General features: G+C 34.4%; 1 protein-coding gene and 1 long non-coding RNA gene across 4 annotated transcripts in view; one reads left to right on the top strand and one right to left on the bottom strand.

The window, feature by feature from the left end:
• LOC105379154 (uncharacterized) overlaps positions 1-24741 on the top strand; it is a 57613-nt gene that overhangs the window by 9623 nt on the left and 23249 nt on the right. The window contains exon 2 of one of the 2 annotated variants that reach the window (XR_007058916.1): positions 6813-7176. The exons of the other annotated variant lie outside the window; for it this stretch is intronic. This is a non-coding gene — a long non-coding RNA (uncharacterized LOC105379154). Of the gene's footprint in view, positions 1-6812; positions 7177-24741 lie in introns of those variants that run through there. 2 annotated transcript variants of the gene reach the window in all.
• Positions 1384-24741, bottom strand: part of SNX2 (sorting nexin 2) — a 59548-nt gene continuing 36190 nt past the window's right edge. Inside the window, exons 8-15 of one of the 2 annotated variants that reach the window (NM_003100.4) lie at positions 19956-20031; positions 18899-19012; positions 18554-18647; positions 16904-17109; positions 9734-9877; positions 8468-8548; positions 8281-8352; positions 1384-6329 (exon numbers count right to left, since the gene is read on the bottom strand). In NM_003100.4, the coding sequence (NP_003091.2) occupies positions 6279-6329; positions 8281-8352; positions 8468-8548; positions 9734-9877; positions 16904-17109; positions 18554-18647; positions 18899-19012; positions 19956-20031 (838 nt within the window). In that variant the 3' untranslated portion in view covers positions 1384-6278. The remainder of the gene's footprint in view (positions 6330-8280; positions 8353-8467; positions 8549-9733; positions 9878-16903; positions 17110-18553; positions 18648-18898; positions 19013-19955; positions 20032-24741) is intronic. The other variant, NM_001278199.1, reaches the window with a different exon arrangement.

Genomic DNA, 24741 nt, shown 5'->3' with positions numbered 1-24741 from the left:
TTGCTTAAAGTCAATATTGTAGGCTCTTGAGCCAGGATTCATACTGGTGGGCTGAATGTGTAACTGCATTCTTAATCATTCGATTACACTGTCTTGGCTGTAAAACACTGGTTTCTACAAGAAATAACATGGGCATAGTCATTCCTCAAGAGACATACAAATTAGTCAAGGCAGTAATGCCACACAACTATAATGCAAGATAGATCTCTATAATTGCAATCTAAAAGGAACAAAGTGTTACTGGAGTCCTACTGAGAGATCAAGAGACATTCCTTCTAGCTAGGGTACTTAAAAGGATGTGGACTTTAGATTTGGCTTTAAAGTTTAAGGGATGGACAAGATTTAAACAATTGCTGTTAAAAGGGAAAGGTTAATCAGAGAAGGGGTGTCACTAACAAAAACATGAACCAGGAAGGAAGAGAGCATGCTCATGAGACAGGAGCCTAATTTCATTAAAGCAAAAGGTGAGTGAAGTTAAGGGGTAAGAATCAAGACAGGAAAAATAGTTTGAGACCAAATTATGGAGCAAGCATCTGAACTTTATCTGCAGACTGTAAGGAGTCTATGAAGATTTCTGAGCATAGTACCATGACAAGAGTTATTTAGGAAGATCAATTTGGGAGCAGGTTGTAGGACTGGCAGAGTAGAGAGAGACTAAAAGAATAGTTTTGTTTGTTGTTTTTTGTTTTTTTGTTTTTTTTTTGAGACGTTGTCTAGCTCTCTTGCCAGGCTGGAGTGCAGTGGCACGATCTCGGCTCACTGCAACTTCCGCCTCCCAGGCTCAAGCGATTCTCCTGCCTCAGCCTTCTGAGTAGCTGGGATTACAGGCACGCGCCACCACACCCAGCTAATTTTTGTATTTTTAGTAGAGACGGAGTTTCACCATGTTGGCCAGGATGGTCTCGATCTCCTGACCTCGTGATCCACCTGCCTCGGCCTCCCAAAGTGCTGGGATTACAGGCGTGAGCCACCGCGCCCGGCAAGAATAGTTTTTATAGGAGACTCAAGATAGTCCCAGCCACAAGATCTTGACCCTGAGGAGACAGACAATGGAAATAAAATAAGGGCAGAGATTTCAAAAGTGGAATCAGTTCAAGTTGGTCTTAGTGAAATTATGACACCTAAGCAATATAACTCTAAAAACATAAGCATTTGGCTTTGTGTCTCAGTTACAGAAGGCTGGGACATATTTAAAACTACAATTTAGAAATTAAGTTTGGTTTAAAAGCCTGTTGCATTCACACACACACTTCTACACACAAATATACACACTGTATACACATATATAGTGAGAATATTTGAAATGAAGATCTAGAAAATAAGAGTAGGTTAAAATCAAGATAACTCGAGACTGACTATGGAAGCAGTAAGAAGGCAATTTAGTTTTGTTAAATTTTGTCTGACTTAGTTTTTATTAAAGTTACATGTATAAATTTAAAATAGAACTTTATTTTTTCTCAACTCTCTTAAAACGGTTTATCCCATTAACTGACCTTAATAAGAAAATGATTTTCTGTGTATTCACCTTGACTGGCTTCAGTTACAAAGTTTCCATTTTGCCCAGTTAAGAAATACTTAAAATTATTCAATCTTTAGAGAATTTTTTAAAAGTATGTGACAAGAAAGGAAGAAGAGCATTTTAAATTACTTCATGTGCATTAAAAAACTAGATAGTAAACTACAGCTTCCCTATCTTCTACAATCTTATCAGCGTCTGAAGCAACAGTTGGAAGAAATAAGTTCTCTGTATCCCAAAAGATTTCCTAGAATTCTAAATGTTAATAATTAAAACAGAAATCTTGAAATGCTTATCATACATTTTCAAAGAATGTTCACATATGGTTCACACATAAATTTAACAGGAATAATCAGTTCAATCATGATTTAAGCCCTGGATCTCCTAGTTTAGTTGTAAAATTGAGAAAGTTGTTCTAGACAGGTTATAAACTTCCTTCAAGCAATATAGTACTACAATTCATTTATTGTAGATATTGAACATCCACTACTTGCAAAACATTATGCTACAAAGTCTTGCACATAAATTATACCTGCCCTTGAGAGTAACAACTAGGAGTCGCTTTTATTCAGCTTTGATTTCTTCACTGGGTTCAGGATGATAAACTAGCTGTTGGACTTACTCTGCATTTTCATTTCCACAGTAAACTCATTTCATGTGTACAATGAAACTTGGAAAACTTTATTGTATCTGGGTAATAAAAAAGAGTACCAACAATGAAATAAAGGCATTTTGAGATTTATAAATGTAAAACAAGTTGAATAGTTGAATAGGCATTGTCTAAACCTATGCTGTCCATTATCATAGCCACTAGTCATCCACATGTGACAACTGATCAAATTGTAGCCGGTCTGAATGGAGATGTGATGAAAGTGTAAAATATACATCAGATATCAAAAAAAGAATGTAAAATATCTTATAACTTCAATATATTGGATTACATATTAAAATAATATTTTGGAGCTACTGGATTATTAAAATTGTTTTTTACTTTTTAACATTTGGCTGTAGAAAATTTTAAAATTATATATATGGCCCATATTATATTTATATTGTTCTATGCTCTTAAGGACCTTCTCCATAGATTACCATGACCTATCTTCATGGCCCTCATCAAAAATGCAGGAAAATGAACTATTACTCACATTTATCTTGTTGTAATTCCCTTTTATTGCTATTTCCATGTCTGACCCATTATCTACTTTCATTGTTACATGAAACCAAATCCTTCACTGTGAGGGTTAGGAATGATAATTATTTGATTCTGATTTTACATAAGGAAGTGTGTGTCGAAGGGAGGGTGGGTGATTCTATTGTCTCTTTTCTAATACTTTGAAACAGACTATGTCACTCACACATATAATCTACACGTTTCTTGACTAGTGAATATGATATGAAAATGCCTCCAAAGTCCCTGAGCCAGTGACTTGGACTTCCTTTTCACAGGTGTTATTTTCCCACCTAACTACCAGCAACCTCCCTTCCTTTAAAACAAAATGACTTTGACTGGCCTATCTGCAGTCACTATTATGGAATATCTGCTATCTCCCTGACTCTTGTTAACATGACTGCCCATGCAGGGAGCCATGACAAGAAAACTGAAGTAACATCCCTTATTTAAGGCAGAATAATGGAAGTCTCTATAATTCCCTTAAGACATTAAAATTAAGAGCATTTGTAAAGGAATATAACTTTCCTTCTCTACTCATCTGACTTCCTCCTTTAAAGAAAGCTGATTATGTTAAAAGGCTTATGTCATAGTTAAAGCCATTTATAAAACAATTTATATAACGACAAAGGACGCAATTACTTTTGAACCAACATTAATACAATGAATGCAGAAAACTTTACTAGATCTAGATAATAAAGAAAAAAGTTTAAGGAGTAGCAACAATGAAACAAAGGTATTTTGAGATTAATATATTAGTATAAAGCTGAATACTTGAAAATAGTTCAGTAGAAAATACAATCAAGGAAATCTATGTGTTAGGCATATTTTTACACACATTTTGTCTTGTTTTACTTAATAGAAGTTCTTTGATTAGAATTGTTTTCCAACATATTTATATTGAAGTTTGATATTTTAAACAAAATATTTTAAAGTAGAAAGGCACTTCAGGAATCAAGACTTTTATGTACTTGTTTTATAGATAAGAGATTTAAGTGATATGCCCAAAGTCATACTAAATGAAACAAGACTGAACAAATGTATGCTGATCCCAAGTTCAGCTTGTTTCACAATATTTTGCTGCCTTGGTCTTTAACTTTTGATCTCATTAAGAAAACAAACAAACGCTAAACTCAGACCTATCCAATGAAAAGATTATATTATTAGCACTATTAATGTTCTTGTTTTACTTATTTGGGATGAAAGCATTTTTATCTGAACAGGAGAAGTGAAGATTGATGGGTGAAGTGTTGAAATAATTAAATCCTGTTTAAATACTGGTAGGTATCAGAGGCTCATATAATACTTGAAATTTCCAGCACACTCATCTTTTAGTAAATGTGGGCAAGGGAAATGGAAGTCTGGAAGGGAGTCTAGAGTTTAATCAAGGCTGAAAATATTTATTATTTTACTTGGAGGTACTGAATATTCTAATGTACCACATCTGAATGGAAGATTTTAATAATAACTTGAATAACCATCCTATGTGTAAACTATACCTTTGTTAAGTAATATACCTGTGGATATAACACTAGGACATCATTATAGTGAAACTATTCTTGGTAAGCCTATCTTTTGCTCAATATTAATGGAGCAACAAGATAGCATCTGATATATATTACTATGAATTATTCGTTTCTGAAAAGTATTCCCAGAAGCAACAAAAGATGATTGTACTATTTCTGCTTCAGTTTCTTTTTAGAAGAGCAAACTTTTGTTTTCCCTGTTCAACTCATCAAGTCTTCATTTTTTTTAGAGACAGGGTCTCACTATGTTGTCCAGGCTGGCTGTAGGTTAGTGGGTATTCACAGGCACGATCATAGTGTACTATAGCCTCAAACTCCTGGGCTCAAGAGATCCTCCTGCCTCAGCCTCCCAAGAAGCTGGGACTACAGGCATGTGAGTCACTGTGCCTGGCCCATCAAGCCCTTATTATTAACCTATTATGTATCAGCCACTCTTCTGGGCTGTGGGAGTATAAATATGAATAACACCTATAGAAGGCTTAACATTTCAACTAAAGCAGAAGCAAACACATGCTAAGGATACTTCGATATATAAATTGTATCCAGTGACTCACTAGAGATGACTTAGTTACACATACCATATCTTGTTCCTATGGAAGGGATATGTGGTGGTTAAGCTCAAGAAGAGGGGTGTTTGTAAGAATATTTTTTAAAAAACAAAAATAGCTCTGACACCAGTCATCTTTTTTTTTTTTTTTTTTTTTTTTGAGATGGAGTTTTGCTTTTGTTGCCTAGGCTGGCGTGCAACGGCATGATCTTGGCTCACTGCAACCTCCACCTTCCTGGTTCAAGCGATTCTTGTGCCTCAGCCTCCCAAGTAGCTGGGACCACAAGCACACCCCACCACACCAGGCGAATTTTTGTATTTTTAGTAGAGATGGAGTTTTACCATGTTGGCCAGGCTAGTCTTGAACTCCTGACCTCAGGTGATCCACCCACCTCAGCCTCCCAAAGTGCTAGGATTACAGGCGTGAGCCACCACACCCAGCCATGACTTAAATTTTCATCAGCATTAAGGATTAGATAACAGCTGTCTAAGTAGCATACAGAATGGGTAAAAACATTGCCCAAGGCAAACTAAATTTCAGTTTACTTCAAATTTGCTTTGTGTTGTGCTTGCTTATTCATCAAATCATGGTATATTTTAACATGGTACCATTCCTTGTCAACTGTGAGCACAGATGATATACTTTTAGTTTAAAAGAAAAAAAACCAAAAGACAAGAATAAATTAAATATATGCAAAGTACGAGATTCTGAAGATAACGAGAAGATGAACAAAATCCATGGGACTTGTAAAAGTATATAAATACATTTTTTTCCTAATTCTTAAATTGGGCACTTGTAATAGAGATGGTTAAAAACAAGCAAAGACAATTATTCTCTTCTTTACCCAAGACAATCAAGAGTCAAATGTTCTTTGATTTATGATGGTTTCATAAGAAAACTTAAGCTTCATTTAGTCATTTAATGAGTTCAGCTTTGTCAATTAAAATAATTAAGGAATCATGGCATCACCTATATACATCTAGAAGAAAAATTTCTTCCTATTAAAAATGCTTTGAAAAGATTCCTAATGTTTAAATACCCAAATAATTTGTTACTAATATTTCACAAGGAATATCATTTTATTACTGTAATCACAAAATCGTAATTTCTGTACAGGAATGTATAAGTGAACATTATTCAAAGCATTGGTAATTCACTTCATAAAGAGGGTAAACATACTACAGAACATATTGTAAAGAAAAAATATTGTAAAATTTTCTGGTCTTGCAGTGCACTATTTAGTGCAAGTATTTAAGACACAATAGTGTTCAATTCAGCAAAGTATTGCAGAATGTCATGCCACAGTCCACTTAATTCAAAGAGGGTCAGGACATGCAGCTTGTAATAAAATGTCAGAGTGTGTGTGTGTGTGTGTGTGTGTGTGTGTGTGTGTATATAAAACCACATGTAATTCATAAAATATATAGTGGTTTATTTAGATGGTTTTAAATGATTTCACTGTGGAATCCAGCATAACTGGAACAACATCCAAGGTCTTCTTAACGGCAACAATCTTATTGCTAGGCAATGGCTTTGGCTTCAGGTAGGAATGCTTCCCAGTATTTTATCAGCTGTGAATGATAATTAAAATATAAGTTATTCTCATTACCTTTTTGTCATTTATATGCATATATCCTGTACAGCATTAAAAAAAAATCTACATAAGCCGGGCTGGGTAGCTCACACCTATAATTCCAGCACTTTGGGAGGCTGAGATGGGTGGATCACCTGATGTCAGGAGTTCAAGACTAGCCTGGTCAACATGGTGAAACCCCGTCTCTACTAAAAATACAAAAATTAGCCTGGCAATGTGGCGCTTGCCTGTAATCCCAGCTACTGGGGAGGCTGAGGTACAAGAATAGCTTGAACCCAGGAGACAGAGGTTGCAGTGAGCCAAGATCACACCACTGCACTCCAACCTGGACAACAGAGCAAGACTCCATCTCAAAAACAAACAAACAAACAAACAAAAACAACATTAAAAAACCATACAAATAGCTAACAATGACTAATATTTACTAACGTCTGGGTTTTTTTTGTTTTGTTTTCTTGAGGTGGAGTTTCACTCTTATTGCCCAGACCGGAGTGCAATGGCATGACCTCGGCTCACTGCAACCTCCACCTCCCAGTTCAAGCGATTCCCTGCCTCAGCCTCCTGAGTAGCTGGGATTACAGGTGCGCCACCACGCCCAGCTAATTTTTTTGTATTTTTAGTAGAGATGGGGTTTCTCCATGTTAGCCAGGCTGGTCTTAAACTCCTGACCTCAGGTGATCCACCCGCCTCGGCCTCCCAATGTGCTGAGATTACAGGCATGAGCCGCTGCGCCCGGCCAATGTCTGGTTCTTAAAGGAATCATTTTAATTTCCTTATCTGAAGTCCGTCAATATATTTCATATATAAATTATTTAAAACATTAATTACTCCTGGCTACTTTTAGTTTTTGATGTAAAATAATGGAGTTCTTTTAATGTACAATTTTTTGTTTTATGCAAAATTTTACACAGAACAGTGTTACCATATATTAAAGCAAATAATACAACTACAATGACCTTTTCCAGCATAAAGTGACAGGATTTCCCAATTCAGAGCATATTGACAGTTTATGTTATTGCTAGACAAAAAAAAATGGGATATAAGGAGGAAGAAAAGAAAATACTGAACAAGAAAAAAAAAAGGACTGGATAGAATTAGCTGTCAGTCTTCCTTGAATAGTCCAGAGAACAGACTGAAATATCAACTGAAGTCATGTTTAAAACAATTCCTTTAAAAACAAGCTTATATGACTTATTTTCATATTTAAAAAAATTTAACTTTATGAGCTGTTTAAATAAAAATTAAACACAATTTGAAGACATCATACCACTTAATTCAAAAACAACCTATTATGTTTTACACAAATGACATTCTAGATCCACATATTTTAAAACTGGAAGGAAGAAATCCTTCAAGATATTAAATTACTTGACCTGTTACTCTAATTTACATTAAAATATACAGGAAAATTTTCTGTGATTATCTTTTTATTTAATATACCATTAAAATCCATGGTAAATGAGATAACTGCCACTTGCAGCATTCAACCACCACCAACCCCAAACAAAATAAAGCAAAAATGAAAACAGTACAGTTTTTTTTTTTAATTCTGAAAAAGTGTTTAGCTTAAGTTCTATTTGTTATGGAAGAGAAGAACTTACTATGAGAATTTACTCAAACAGGTCTGACCAACAAGGAAAACAAACTAGAAAGACAGTGAAAGGGGAAAGTTGCCCATGAGGTTTCTGATGGCCTAAAACTGGGAAAAGTCTATCTCTGCCTTAGTGTTAAGCAGAGGCAAAAAAAAAAAAAACACGTGAGATAGTTTCCGATTAGTTTACCCTTTTATCCTTTACCATCACTGGCTTTCTGTCTTCCATTTCTTATTCTTGAGTTTAAATGCCCAGTTCATTAATCATCTTTTTAAAATAAGAAAGTATACCAAAAACAAATTCTAGAAGTTTAAGTTATAAACAAAAATGGCTTACCTGTTGTTGTGTTTGAACTAGTGATTCTAAGTACTTGATGATAACGGTTTTAAAATCCTTCACTCGTTCTTTCTGTTGAAGTACATTTTAAAAAGTCCGTTAGTAGAAAGCTAAATTCAACTTTACCACAAAATTGCAGCAAAATGTGACCATGTTGTTAAGATAAATGCAAAATTATTATACATGCCTCAAATCTTCCCACTTCTTTTCGAATCGTTTTAGATATCTGTTCAAAATCTCTTTCCCCTTGTTGCACTTTCGCCTCCCACTAATAAAAACAAAGAAATATTTTATGCTTATCTCAAAAAAAAGTATAGTACTGTCAAGACCACTCACTTAATTTAATCACAATGCCTGAAAATCCTGAGAAAGCTCAATATTGGCAATGCACAATTTAGCATCAACAGAAATTGCATTTAACTGTCAACCAATAGAAATGCATGTTAGCTTAATTTCCTTTAATATTCCACAGATTTGCTCAATATTAAGATATTTCAATACTGTACTTAATAAACTACAATGTCCAAAGCTTAATTAAATATAACTAAGAGGAAAGATTTTGGGCATAAAATTCACCACAAAATAAATTATCAGTGCTATAGTGTAATTTTCTTAATTACTTTTTTATATCAATAATTATTTCAGAATATATCAATACTGTTAAATCCAAGGATATGTGTTCTTCAAAATTTATATGCTGATGGAAATATTTTAAATTAGGAAAATTACATGATAAACATTTTAAAAATATTTTTGTAATGGTAAAATGACCAGATTGGAAAAAAATGTGGAATTATGGTCTACTGAAGACCATCAATAAATATTAAATTCAGTACAGAAACAACAAAATGTTGTGATTAGTGAACAATGAAACAACTAAAATAACTGAAGATTTAAGCAATGAAATGATATTTTTCCCACTATGTAACCAAAACACTGGTACATACTCTTCAAAGGGCAGGTACATTTATTTTTAGTAACATAAAGGTTGTCCTACCTCTTCAATTTCCTTATTGAAGCATGGTAAGAAAAGTGTATAAATTATAATAAACTTATACAAATTCACTAAAATACCATATATAATACATATATATGGGGGATAATGTTGCCTGGACAGCTAAATGTGGGAGAGATCTAGCTCTAAAACCATTTTTAGACACAAAATAATAATCTGAAATAAAATTAACCATCTAATAAAAATGTGTAATTATTAATGTAAAGGTTAATTTTAGCTGTTTTCCTTGTATGCTTCTTTATCCATTCCATAAGTAATGAAGGGCTCTGGAGATTTTAATAATAATGATCAAAATGTTAAAGTAATTCTAACACAGTTCATAAAAATATGCAAAAATAGCTACGTGTTGAATGGTTTACAAAAAATTATGAAAAATTATGTATATATGAATGACTCATGCAAAACTTAAGTAAAGAGATTAAAGCATTTAGTAATCACCTCTCTTATTTCATTTTTAGCTTGCTGTATTTTATCTGGTTTGTTAGCAACCATCATTTTTGCTTCAGCTTCACGTTTTTTGAGCAAAGTAATTTGAGCATCTTCCCATTTCTGCCAGCACTTCATTCGATGGTCAAACACACCCTATAAGTGAATGACATAATGCTATTAAGTAAGAGTAACATTTAAAATACTTTCTTAACACTAGAAGTGTTATAATACTGAAAACAATAAAACCAAGTATTTAAGTTCTATTCTAATATACTAAGATACTGAAAGTAAGTATGCCAATATCAAAGAAAATAATCTCCATATTCATTTGCTTAAAACAAAAAAACCCTGTCACTGGATGAAACATGTTCAGAATAAAAACTACATTCAAAACCCATTTCATCACTAGCCTTTAGGGCTTTAAATATGGTTTATAAGATTTATAACAGCGTTTTATGCTTTGAAGATGTCTTTAATAGGAAAATGCTAGTGTCATACCTACACTGGAAATTTTCCCGCTAAATAATATTAGAAGCATATTAAGTATTAGAAACATGTCTGAAATTGAAAAGACAAAATGGGAAAAACTCATAAGATATGTGGTAGAAGAAATTACCATAGCAAATAAAAAAAGGCAAAGCAATCAAAACGTAAAATATAACAAAATGAATAAAAAGACAGTCTTAAGATGAAAAGGGCAAAAGATGAAGAGGACTATATATATTTTTTATATATACACTGCAGAACTAAAGAAATAGACAAAAAGATCCTAATACAATAAGTCAACCAAATCCATGACTTCTCTCAAGGAGTCTGGCAGAGCAAGGGCAAGTGAATAGAGAAAAGAAATGAAATATGGACAAATTAGTGTAATTAGAAGTCTCATGAAAAAAATGATGGATAGGATGGGAGAACCCACTAAGAATCCTCTTTCTGGCTTGATGTTAGAGAAATATTAAAATTATTTTAGTAATTACTAATCAAACATTCATGAAGTAAATGTTAATAAATTGGGTGAACCAGGAAGCACTAAACCCGAGTTATTTTAATTTATTCCAAATAAAAAACTTTTTGAACCATGAAGCAGTAAAAATACATGTTCCTATAGGGATCTGAAGAGAAAAATATGTAGGTAGTATATTTTTAAAAAGCAGGCTTTGGAGAAAATCAAATTTGGTTCTAATATTAGTTTTGTCACCGTATGACCATGGGTAAATTCACTGAACTTCTCCAAGCTGTAATGATCCCAAATACGAAAGGTGGGAAGTGATGTCTACATTTATGGATTAGAAATAACATAAGGAGTATATTATTGCATAGTGACTTAACCTAGTGGATGCTTAATAATCAGTAGGTACAGCCATTATGGATTACTTCTAAATAACATACACATGTAAATGTAGTTAACTGTTAAGCTTTCTATACCAAAGTGCAAAGGATAGGTTAGTATTATGGAAAAAATGTATAACTAAAAAGCATTTATATCATATGGCAATTTTTAAAAATGTGATAATAGCATTAAAAAATCCAATCAACCAGAAACCAAAGCATTTTTCCAAAGGAATTCTTAAGGATCGTGAACATTTTAAATTAACCAGGACAAAAGATATCCAGGGCAAACTGGCAGTCAAAGCACCTTATCTATGGGTATTTAAATCCACTTTGCTATATTTAATTTGTCTTCTCAGATAATTTTTCTTACATTATTAAGTGAATCTTACTGTCTCCTTTGTCTGCTTTTCTTATATTTAAAATACCACGTTTTTCCTAAAACATCCCTTATTAAAATCCAAAAGTAACATATCTAACACAAATAGATTCAGAAAAAGTCACTATCATTTAAAACAGCAGTGTTCAATGCTTTGGCTTCCCTGGGCCACAATGGAAGAAGAATTGTCTTGGGCCACACATAAAACATACTAACACTAACACTAAGTGATGAGCTTTAAAAAAAAAATGTCATCAGTGTTTTTTACAATTTTCTTTTTTTTTTTTTTTTTTGAGACAGAGTCTCGCTCTGTTGCCCAGGCTGGAGTGCAGTGGCGCGATCTCAGCTCACTGCGAGCTCCAACTCCCAGGTTCACGCCATTCTCCTGCCTCAGCCTCCTGAGTAGCTGGGACTACAGGCACCCGCCACCATGCCCAGCTAATTTATTTTTATTTTTAGAAGAGACGGGGTTTCACTGTGTTAGCCAGGATGGTCTCGATCTCCTGATCTCATGATCTGCCTGCCTCGGCCTCCCAAAGTGCTGGGATTACAGGCATGAGCCACCGCGCCCGGCCATGACATTTTAATAAAGTTTGTGAATTTGAGTTGGGCTGCATTCAAAGCTGTCCCCGGCCGCATGTTGGAAAGCTTAACACAAACAATCCCTCTCACTTCCTACACATACACACACACACACACACACACACACACACACGACCACATGTTGGAAAGCTTAAGACAATCCCTCTCACTTCCGACACACACACACACACACACCCACATACACACGACCACCAAAAAGTAATGTAAGATTTTAGACCTAGTCTTGCTTTAGGGGAACAGGGCCATATCTTTTCTTCATTTATAAATTCCTCTGTTCAGTAAAAATTTGATTCCTTAAAATATGTACCAATACAGGGAAAAAGCTAATGAACATGCCCTTTAATTCAATATTTGCTTAAGTTCTCAATGTATACATCAACCGGCTTTTCCATTGATATGCTAAATCTAAACTAATTTGGTCCCTGTCCAATTTATTATCTCATAGTATTCTAGAACCAGGACATGTTTATTGTGGTACAGATGTAGGAGCTATGATAAAGGTAAGACTACTAAAGTCAGGTTATTTCAGGAAAAAAAAATTAATCTTAAATATACAAATTAACTTTTTCTTCGTTTGTTTTCTTTCCTTTGTAACAAAATAACAGAAAATAAAAAAGAACCAGCACCAGTCAAACTTCTAACAATGCTATATTAAATCAATTAAATCGTAACAATGTGTCCCTTTGTATGTCAAGATACTAATCCACTCTAGTAGAACCATTATAAGAGGGATAAGTTTACACGGATCATCCATTTAGGACCTCCATTACTCTGCTAATTTATGGCATACATTTGTATGCAAGCTGCTCTCAGTTAGACAAGATTGCAGATGTCTAACAGTTTTTTTGGCCCATCAGGAAATTTGATGCTACAATTTTAATTATTATCATATTGTAATTCAGTTAATCTGAAAATATGCTGCCCAGCTTCATGGAGTTCTGAAGAGGTGCTGAGTATTTATAGCCAAAGAATAAAGCGTTTAAACCCCTTGGGGAATCCATCTTTTAGTTAAATACATTTTTTTAGTATGTTTTATAAATTGGGATCCCCTACAAAAATTATTTATGAAGAGTTCTAGTGCTAAAAACATTAAGAACCATTGCCCTCAATCTCTGACCCTACTCTAGTGGTTCAAAGAAGCCCAATACATGACAATGCTTGTAAGGATACAGCCAACTCTTATAGTTCTAAATTGCAGAGACCATGTACTATACAAAAGAGGAAAACAGGCGTTTCCTGACACAACGCCAGGCTTAGGCAATATTTTGAAATGGGTAAAATGTAGCTTTTTCTTTAGTGTTCCAATTCCTGATGTTTTTTGATCCTAACAATGGCTCTATATTAATCCCCAAAGTATTCCTAATTTGAAGAACTATCATCAGAAAAGTACGCTCGATATGGATAAAACCAAAGGTTAATTAATATTAAGCACCTATTCGAAATAGATAATAACCAAACAAAAACTGGGCAAAGGACATGAAGAGTTCATTCACAGAAAAAGAAATGTAGGGCTGGGTGCGGTGGCTCATGCCTGTAATCCCAGCGCTTTGGGACGCCGAGGTGAGTAGATCACGAGGTCAAGAGATAGGCCATCCTGGCAAGGTGAAACCCCGTCTCTACTAAAAATACAAAAATTAGCTGGCTGTGGTGGCACACGCCTATAGTCCCAGCTACTCGGGAGGCTGAGGCAGAATTGCTTGAACCTAGGAGGCGGAGGTTGTAGTGAGCCAAGATTGCACCACTGCACTCTAGCCTGGCGACAAAGCAAGACTCCATCTCAATAAAAAAGAAAGAAAAAGAAATGCAAATGGTTTATCATTTGTAAAGATGTCTTGATTCACACTAAGTAAATGGCAACTTACAAAACAAAAAACCTTCATTCTTGGGTGCTAGTAAAAAGAAACATGTAGGTTTAGGTAGGTTAGGGTACAAAGTAAAATCTTTTTGAACAGTAATTTGGCAATACTTATTGAAATTTAAAATGCATATACCCTCTGGTCAGCAATTCTACTTATAGAATCTTTATGTCCAAAGAGTTATCAAAACACTTGATTTTTTAAAAGACTAGACTATAATTCAAGGTATATCTAAATGTTATATGATGGAATGCTATACAACCATTAAAAAGACATCTACCGGCCAGGCGCAATGGCTCACGCCTGTAATCCCAGCACTTTGGGAGGCTGAGGCAGGCGGATCATGAGGTCAGGAGATCAAGACCATCCTGGCTAACACGGTGAAACCTCGTCTCTACTAAAAATACAAAAAAATTAGCCAGGCATGATGGTGGGCGCCTGTAGTCCCAGCTACTCGGAAGGCTGAGGCAGGAGAATGGCATGAACCCGGAGGCGGAGCCTGCAATGAGCCGAAATCACGCCACTGCACTCCAGCCTGGGCGACAGAGCGAGTCTCCGTCTGCGAAAAAAAAAAAAAAAGGACATCTACTTATGTTGATAGGGAGACCGCCCTATTAAGTGGAGTGGGTGTAAAAAGCAGACAAAGAACACTACACACAGTATATTCCTTTTTGAGAAAGGAAGGGAGGGAGAGAAGGGGATGGAAGGAATAAATGGACAGAGGGAGAATTAGCTTCATGTACATGCATAGCTAATTCTGTAAAGACACACAAGAACCTAACAGTTTATGACTGAGGTCAGAGACTACAGGTCTTAGTTCTGCAGGCAAATTTACCTTGCTGAGCTATTAGAACTATCATGTATGTGCATTATTTTTTCAAATACAAGTGAATTAGTTTAAAATAAAGAATAGGACAAAAACAAAAACCATAAAAATTACCTGTCACCTCCTTCCATAATATCTTAATTCCTTTGTGTAGTTGATCTGGGCTAGGTTTCAGTAGAAACTAATCTTAAAGAGCTTAATTTACCTGAAGGCAACTTCACCACAGCTCTTTAACTCTTTTAGTCAATGAATCATTAATTCAGTATTTCCACAAATGTGTTCCATATATGTAAATAGATATTTGGTGGAAAATAATTCTTGTTCAAATGAATTTAGAAGCCTCTGGATTAAAATTTGTTTTCTTTTTCACTCCTAACCAGTTCTGAGCTTTTAAAAGGCATTCTGAATCTCGCAAACAGGGATACTATATACATAACTTCCCAAACTTAGCTAACTGTAATCCATCTTTTGGTGCCAGTGTTCTATAGAAAATATTTTGGAAAACATGAATATAACTGTAATTTCAGGAAATACAGTAACACAGCAAAAAGACTTAGGGTATGAGGAAAGCTATTTTTGAGGGATCAATATCCATTACACAGGCAGGCCATCACTGCCAGGGGGTCTTTTTCCAGGTTAGCTCTTATTAGCAGATACGTATTCTTTTTTTTTTTTATTTGAGATGGAGTCTCTGTCGCCAGGCTGGAGTGCAGTTGCGCAATCCCAGCTCACTGCAACCTCTGACTCCCCGGTTCAGGTGATTCTCCTGCCTCAGCCTCCTGAGTAGCTAGGATTACAGGCATACGCCACCATGTCCAGCTGATTTTTGTATTTTTAGTAGAGCCGGGGTTTCACCATGTTGGCCAGGATGGTCTTGATCTCCTGACCTCGTGATCCACCCGCCTCGGCCTCCCAAGGTGCTGGGATTACAGGCGTGAGCCACAGTGCCCGGCCCAGATATGTATTCTTACAGACACTGCCCAACTCCCCTTTTTTGACCCACGGGTTTGTTGGAAGTGTCACACTTTTTTACAACAGGTCTCATGCTATTGGGTGCTCTGGTAAGAAGTGAGAGTAGGTGGGACAAATCTGTAAACTGGATCTCTGTACATCACAAGCTGCCTATATATAATGAAGTATATATACTCTGACAATTGCTATGTATATTAACATTTCTAAATACTGAGAAATTAATCACCAACAGCATTAGGAACATTTAAAACGGTAAAATACAAGTAAAATTGGTAATTTTACCAAATAAAAGAAAGCACCATTCTGAAGTGCTAAGAATGCTCTAGTAATAAATGTCACCAGTTGCTTAAGAACAGAACCATCAATAAATATGCTCATTGTAGATGAGTATTAACTTGATCACAGACTTTAGCTGAAAAAATTTTGCATAAGAAAGAAACAAGATCTCATTAACTTTCTAGATGTTTAAATTCAAGGTAAAAAGTAAATACCCAGTACCCCTCAAACCCCATGATAACTAATATCCATAACAAAAATTCAAAGATCTTAAAGTATCTTCTGAAACATGATACACTGGGTAACGTTCAGTTCAGTTTAACTGTCTGAAAACTGCAGATATCTGCAGAATACTAATTTTTACTAACTGGATTACTTTCTCAACTATTCAGAAATTGGACTATTATATAAGTATTACCATTCAATAACACAATTTATGATCTAATCTAGTCCCATCTCATCTATAAACACATGGTGACTACATATTTGAGGATACAAAGTCTGATTACATCCAAATTTATGATAAAGCCCCCATTAAACATATTCACTGCAATAATCGTTTCTGGTTTTATCCTATTTATTACACAGTCAGCTTTACTAATGATAATAGAGTCCGGTGAGTAGTTTCAGTTAGTGCTAGAACGAGCAAACAAATGCTATTAGTTAGTTCCAAACTTGTATAAGCAAATACATAAGTAAATGTATAAATGTTTTCTATCTTATCTGTCATTCCTTAGACCTGTTAAAAACATTAATTCTATCTATTGTACTGTGCAAGTCATAGGGAAGAAAGTATTAAGTTATGTATACTTATCTTGAAGCCATTTTATTCATGCTAGTATAGGAGGAATTTAGACATGTAAATACATAATTAATAGGAAACAAAATACTTTTTAAAGTACACGACACAAGTGAGAAGCATGCAAGAAAGGGCTTACTTTCACTGCAGCAATAAGACGAATGTAGTCACTAAGTAGTTCTGAAAACATATAAAAGTCAGCAAAAGCTTGTTCTTGATGTAACTGGTCTATCTTCTCCTCAACCTCTGCAAGCTGAGACAAAGCTCTAGATAAAGCAGTATGATCCTCAGAATTACCTAACATGGCAGCACTTTTAGCAAAGGCAGCTGTGTTGGCTGAAAGTTCTGAAATTTAAAAAAAAGTATGCAATTTTAGTGTTCACTCATAAAATTTTAAAATATTGTATTGATTTTTCCACTTTTCTCTAAATTTTACTTATGCACAAGTTGCTCAAATAATATTTTAAATTAATTAATATGAAACAATTAGTCGTTAAAATGCCTCAGGCATAAATGCCAAGTGCTCGGAGATCTACTGAAAACACAGACAAATCACTGCTTATATTCCAAAGGGATGAACTATGTTTAAATCATTTAATATAAAAATCTGCCTCCTGTTTTTTCTCCCACAGTGTTCACTGTTTCTCTGCCCATTCCTAAAAATGAAATATATTTTTAATATGAGAAGAACTGGTAATACTCACAATTGATTTATACCACATTTCTGGCCTTTAAACATTTGTCATTGAAAATAATGTCTATAATTTTAATGAGAATATTATTTAGCTAACAGGAGCAAAGGTAAAATTATATACACAATTAACATAAATTTTACTGTTAGTTTCTTTGTTGTACAACAATCTCAGTAAAATATTAGAATTTCTAAAAAGATTTAGAATGTGATCATTTCAGATATTTCAAATAAAGAAAAGTAGATGTTTACAGGCTGAATACTGTCAATGACTAACAATTACACTGCGTGGAAACTGCTCCGTTGCTCTACATTATGTAAAGTTCTCCAAAAAAGCCCATTCCCTAAGAGATATATATAATTCAAATGGCAAAAGCTGTTACAAACTACTTTCAATAATAAATGTATTAATAAGTTTCTATAATTATTTTAATAAAATGTATTGCTGGTAATGTTACATATTATTTGCTTATTAAATGTCTTAGACAATTGATATTTACATTGTTGGATTCTTTAAAAAACCAAAAAACTATAATTTCACTGTGGATTAAAATATTACAACTCAAATTTTCTATGAATTTTTAGCAAAACCTCCAGGTTTTTCAATATTGCAGTTCAAAAATGAAGAAAATACTTCAAAGGGTTTTACAGGAAATAGACACACAAAACAAATACTTTCCAAAAAATTTTCAAAAAGCAATTTTCAAATCTCAAGTTTTTTTATTATAATCAAAGTTACTAATTGATAAGACCTCTTCATCCATTTAACTGTAACTATACTTAACAAAAAGTTAATCAAGTGACCAAGTTTTAATCCAAAATTCAAATATAGTTTTCTTTGTTCTTTTTTTTAGCTCACATCTGTACCAGTTAACAAATAATTTTCTAAGCTCGTTATTTTTCTACTTCTAAACTAGATAGTAAAGCAAAATAGAACAAAAAAAATTTACATAATAAAGTTGAACTAGAAAACATTGTCTTAAATGATTGTTTTCTCTCTTCTGCAATAACTTCAGAATATTTATTTTCATAAAATTTAAATAAAATATTTTCATTAGTTTTATGGTGCTAACTACGTAAGTAGTAAGGCAAACAAACCTTTTCTATGACAGACCAAGGCTTCAACACTGACATGAAGTTTCCTAAGTTGCTGATCCAGATTCTCAAATTGCTGCTGCTTTTCTTCAAACCACTAAGAAAAAAATGAAAAATGGAGCTAATTTAGGAAGAACAAACCATTGTAAATTAGGTTACCAATAGCAAGCTAAATTCCTTGTTTTAAAGCAACAAATTAACCTTATAACCATGGTGGCCAACTGATGTGGCTGAGAACTAAACTCAATAAGCAAATTAATATCCTATTTTCCACTTGTACAGCTTTAAAATGCAATTGTTGGGCTCATTAATTCATCTCATTATTCAAGCCGAAAAATCAGCTCTTACTGCATCCGATTCATTCATCTTGATTGTCATTTTGTTGACAGCGTCGGCAGCCTTGTTCACCATCCTCAATATTCCTGCTCCACTCAGAGCCTGTGTATTAACTGCTCTAGGCAGCTGGAATTGAATGACAAATAAGGGCAAACAAACCGGTTAAAAGCCTGGAGGTTTAACTAGGCACAAAAGTGATCCCCCCTCCTCCCCCCTCCCCCCCACATACAAATTTTAAAAAAGAGGTTGTATTTTCTTCACTCTCATACATTTCAATAGTGAGATCTAATTTCTCAAATATACTACTTGTACATTCTCAAAGGAAAACTTAAAAAATAGACTTTCCATTTGCTTTTCTTCTGCACGTTTACATTTAGATGGAACAAACACCCTGTTTGTCAAAATATATTAAGAAATTGCCAAGTACCCTAACACTGGCCACCTGTTTGCTAACAGAAATAAACCGTTTATAAGGAAAGAAGAAAGTCTTGAGAAAAATCTCCTTATGCTCAGTTAGCTTTGTGTAATTTTGAGTTTTTTAAAAATTCTGCAACTCAAGTAATTTAAAGAAAAAAATGCAAACTAGAACTCAAATTGCTCTTAGGAGCCAAAAATATACCAAACATTTCAAATAAAAAGAGCATCATGTTTAGAATTTAGGCTCTTTCAAGTCACAAATTTGCATTTCAAAACCTTAATAAGGATACCAAAATGTAGACAAGCAAATACACATTCAACTTTCTCTTTCTCTAAAATGAAGTCTGAATAAACTTATTTCAACATGATGCCTGAGGAACAACTTAGGGCATTCAGAGTTAGACTACTTATAAATCACTCTCTTAAATCTTGTTTTAAGTATTCAAGAAAGGGACTAATCACCCTACAAGTATCAAAGCAAAGATATTTTGCTACTAATTTAGCAGGGTAATTAAAGCACTAAGCAAAACATAATAATAATAATTGCTTTATTCCATCTATTAACTCAATTATTTACTATATATAGTCATATACATTACAATGACAAATAACGAGAACATTCATATACAAACATTTAATATAGAAATAATACCTCTGAACTTTCCAAGAACTGCCTTAAATCAGGATCCTGTAGTAAAGTTGGATGTTTTACTGTTCTTTGAAGATACCTAGATTTAAGAGTAAAATTGCTCCTTTATCAGTAGCATCTTGAATTACAGTTCAACAAAATGATAAAAAAATAGAAATACTAGGAAAAAAAAGTGTCCTCACTACCTCGTATTAGACTACTCTCACTGTAATTACTTAGAATCTTACAGCAATTTAATAATTAAAAAGGTTTTTGTTCATCTTTTGAAAATTGATATACTATCCAGTTTTCATAATTACGTAAAAAGAGAAATGGCAAGGGGTGGGAGTGGGGAGAGGTTAAATAACTTACCAAACTTCTCATTGCAAAGTATTATGTTGCAAAGGGGTATGTGAGTTTGTTGCATCATTTTATCTTTGGGTGGAGTCATGTTCTCAACTATAATTTTAGAGTTCTAAGAAACATATTAATATTACTATATATATTCCACTCAACCAAGTTTTAAACTGCTATTATCATCAGAATGGGGAAGAGTCTACCAATACTTTTTTGCGTGTCAGCATATTTAAATGATCACAATTAGCTTTAGTCCTCACTTGACAAGAACTAAATTTTCTTCAGTATTTTCCCCATACCTCTTCAAAGGTATTTATTCAGTATTTCTATTTTTAAGGTTTTGCTGTTTTTGGTAAATGTCTTATCTAATTTGATACCATACAAAATCAAATAAACGAATACCACATAAAATGAATAAAAATGAAAAAGTTAGAAATACCACTATGAAATCAATTTCCCTTTATTAGAAAAGCTCACATGTGCCTGTCACCCATAATAAATTACCAATCATGACTTCATAAAAGGAAATAAGGTCAACTATTTGATGATTCTCGATTACTCATCTAATCCCATTAAAAACAACTGCTATCGGCTGGGCGCGGTGGCTCACGCCTGTAATCCCAGCACTTTGGGAGGCCGAGGCGGGTGGATCACGAGGTCAGGAGTTCAAGACCAGCCTGGCCAAGATGGTGAAACCCCATCTCTACTAAAAATACAAAAAATTAGCCGGGCGCAGTGGCAGGTGCCTGTAGTCCCAGCTACTCAGGAGGCCGAGGAAGGAGAATCATTTGAACCTGGAGGGTGGAGGTTGGAGTGAGCCGAGATCCTGCCACTGCACTCCAGTCTGGGTGACAGAGTGAAACTCCGTCTCAAAAAACAAAAAAAAACCTGCTATCTTTCCCCAAGTTAATAACCATATGCAGTAATATTTCAGTTATAATATTTTTCCTCGCAATAACATATTTATTTTATTTCTTTAGAATAAATGTAGTCAGTAATTTCTTCTACCTTTTTATAAGATTATAAAATATGCCTAAAATTAAGGTTTCCAAAAAAGTGATAATCTTCTCTAAAGTCAAATTCTATACATTGATAAAAATGACTATTTTATCAGTATCAAAATGTTAACTTCTGTTTTTATATATTTAAATAAAATATACAGCATACTAAACTTCGTTTTAAGTCAGTAGCCCACATAAGAAGTCATTATACTAGAACCAGAGCATTTAACAGGTATCTTCGATACAATCTATGCTGGGTTTAAAAAAATTTTTGCTACCTATATTATGAAGCCAAAAAAGGGATGCAGCAAGAACACTAATCCTGCAGGTTTAAGAAATGTTGGTATTTCCCCACTTGAATTTGACTTACAATTTTAACACTGAAGTTCTCTCACAATATATCAGATAAGTTATTTCGTTGTTTAGACTGAGTACTACTTGAAGGCAGTTTGCATAAGTTGCTCATCTCAGTGCATACAACAGCTAGGTAATAGCAGGCACTCAGATACTTGTAAAAAACAAACAAAAACCCAAGAAGGACAAAACATCTAGTACTTAACCTCTAAGAAATATTCTGGCAGGGTGAGGTGGCTCATGCCTGTAATCCCTGCACTTTGGCAGGCAGATCACGAGGTCAGGAGTTCGAGACCAGCCTGACCAACATGGTGAAACCCCATCTCCACTAAAAATACAAAAATTAGCTGGGGGTGGTGGCATGCACCTGTAGTCCCAGCTACTCAGGAAGCTGAGGCAGGAGAATTGCTTGAACCCAGGAGACGGAGGTTGCAGTGAGCCGAGATTGCACCATTGCACTCTAGCCTGGGTGACAGAGCGAGACTCCGTCTCAGAAAAAAAAAAAAAAAAAAAAAAGGAAATATTCTAATATTTCAAACCTAAGTGGAAATACCTTGTATAATTTATATTCTAAAACAGCTTTCCAAAGTGAGTTCTGTAGAATACTAGTCTCACGTACTATTCCATGAAAAAGACTGATTCCATATCAAGAAAGTTTGAAATATATATATATTCCTGTCTTTTAAAATTCATATCAAACAGCATTTTATTAAGTGTTGTGAGAACTCCTACAGAAAATAACCCTAGTTTAACTTTGTTAAATCCTATGTTGACAAAACTCAATTGACTATAGATCTTTTTCATTCTACTACATATTAGCATTCTGAAGAATCAATTTTGAAAAATGATATTCCAGAAAAAGGGAATAAAACTTTCCTTCTCAAGGGCAACATAAAATAAAGCTAATACATATACTAAATACATATACTAAAAAATACATGTATGCATTTTTTAGTTTATATATATGTTTCTCATATATAAGCTTATATGCTTTTATATATATGTTTACATAATGTTGAAATTAAGAACAGAAACATAAAATGGATTTTAAAACAATAAATATTTATAAACATATGCCAATTCGGAATTAAGACCAGAGATGGTTGTAATACAAAGGAAAGACACGGGACAAAAAGGGTAAATGAGTGTAGGAAGAAGACAGGAAAAGAGGTATGGGGAGAAATAGAAACACTGAAAAAAGTCAGAAATAAAAGACAATGGAATTGATCAATATCACATCCAATAAGAGGTGCTCAGTAATTGTTCTTCAAATTTACTTCAAGTTACTGATGAAAAATCACTCAAGGCTTTCAAATTCTTATTTACTTACCAGAAACAAAACAAAATAAAGCAGGTTATATAAAACGCTTGAGAGCAACAGAGTTACAAATATTTATCTTGCTTGAAACTAAAACACAAATGCACATAATGGGAGAATAAAAAGGTAGAAAGAGCCTGGGTCTTGGATAACATTCACTTGTTCATTCAGCAAATACTTACTGAGCTCTTACTACCTATTAAGCACTGTTTTGAGTACTTGGAACACATCAGTGAGCAAAAGGGACTAAGATTCTTTCCCTGGTGAAGCTTACATTTTAGTACAAGATAGACAATAAACTATAAACATAATAAACATACAAATGATAAAGCATGTGACAAGGTGGCAAAAGCTATGGGAAAAAAAGACAGAACAATGGGGTAAATGGGACCAAGTATTTAAGATGTGGTTGGTGGCAATATAAATAGAATAGGTCAGAAGAAAGCCAATGACTGGAATAGGCTTCACTTGAAAGATGTTATTTGAACATACGAACTTGAACAAGGAAATGAGTTAGCTATGCAGATACCTAGGAACAAAGCATTCTAGGCAGAGGGAGCAGGCAGTTGAAAAGACTAAGGTAGGAAAATGCCTAGGGTGTTTGAGAAGCAGCAAAAGGTTAGTCTGGCCTAAAGCAGAGTGAGTGATCACGGAGGATATGAGATCAAATGGGTAACAGAGTGAGGCGTGCAGGTCATATAAAGTCTTGTAGTCCATTAAAAGGACTCTGGCTTTTATTGAGTAAAATGGGGGCATGGGGCCAGCGTGGGGAGGGGTTAAAATGATCTGATTTATATTTTAGAATGACTACTGTAAAGTTCTGTATTAAAGTAGAAGTGCCAAGAATGGAATCAGGGACACCAATTAGGAGGCTACTGCAGTTAATTAACACCTTTGGACTCAGTCAGTAGACTGGTGAGAAAAGGTTGTATTATCAGATATCAGAAAGAAGCAATAGAATTTCCTAATGAATTAGATAATCCTGAACAGCTGCCTACTCCAAACTCTTTGATTTGAAAGAGTGGATTAATTAATCTACATTAACTGTTTAGGCCAGTTGGATTTTTAGATGCTTGAAATGAACACAATCCTGACACACTACATTTTATTTATTTATTTATTTATTTATTTATTTATTTAGAGACGGAGTCTCACTCTGTCGACAGGCTGGAACGCAGTGGCACAATCTTGGCTCACTGCAACCTCTGCCTCCTGGGTTCAAGCCTCTTGCCTCAGCCTCCCAAGTAGCTGTGACTACAGGCACGCGCCACCACACCCAGCCAATTTTTTGTATTTTTAGTAGAGACAGGGTTTCACCATGTTGGCCAGGATGGTCTTGATCTCTTGACCTCGTGATCCACCCACCTCAGCCTCCCAAAGTGCTGGGATTACAGGTGTGAGCCACCGCGCCCAGCCTCACACTTACACTTTAAAGACAAATGCATGTAAGTAATTTACCTAAGGTCACACAGAAAGTGTGTAGTATTAGCACAGGTTTCAACTGAAAAGGAATTATAAATCTTATACACTTATTATTATGCTCTAAATTTCTCATTTTGTATTTGCAGATGTGTATCCTTACCTATAAAATACACTCAATATGATCTAAAGATCTGAAGCACTCTCAAGAAAACCAAGCAAGTGATGTTAGGGCTACTCTTAATAGAAGCAGTCTCTGCTTAGTTTACTGAGTGTGGCACAGGGGAATACTTGGGTATTTAACCACTCCTTTTCTCTTCCTAACCTTTAATACCAGATATTTATCCTTTCATTCAAGGTA

The sequence above is a fragment of the Homo sapiens genome, chromosome 5 (assembly GCF_000001405.40).
Source record: "Homo sapiens chromosome 5, GRCh38.p14 Primary Assembly".
In the NCBI taxonomy this organism is placed as follows: Eukaryota; Metazoa; Chordata; class Mammalia; order Primates; family Hominidae; genus Homo; species Homo sapiens.
This window is presented reverse-complemented; position numbering and strand designations above follow the sequence as displayed.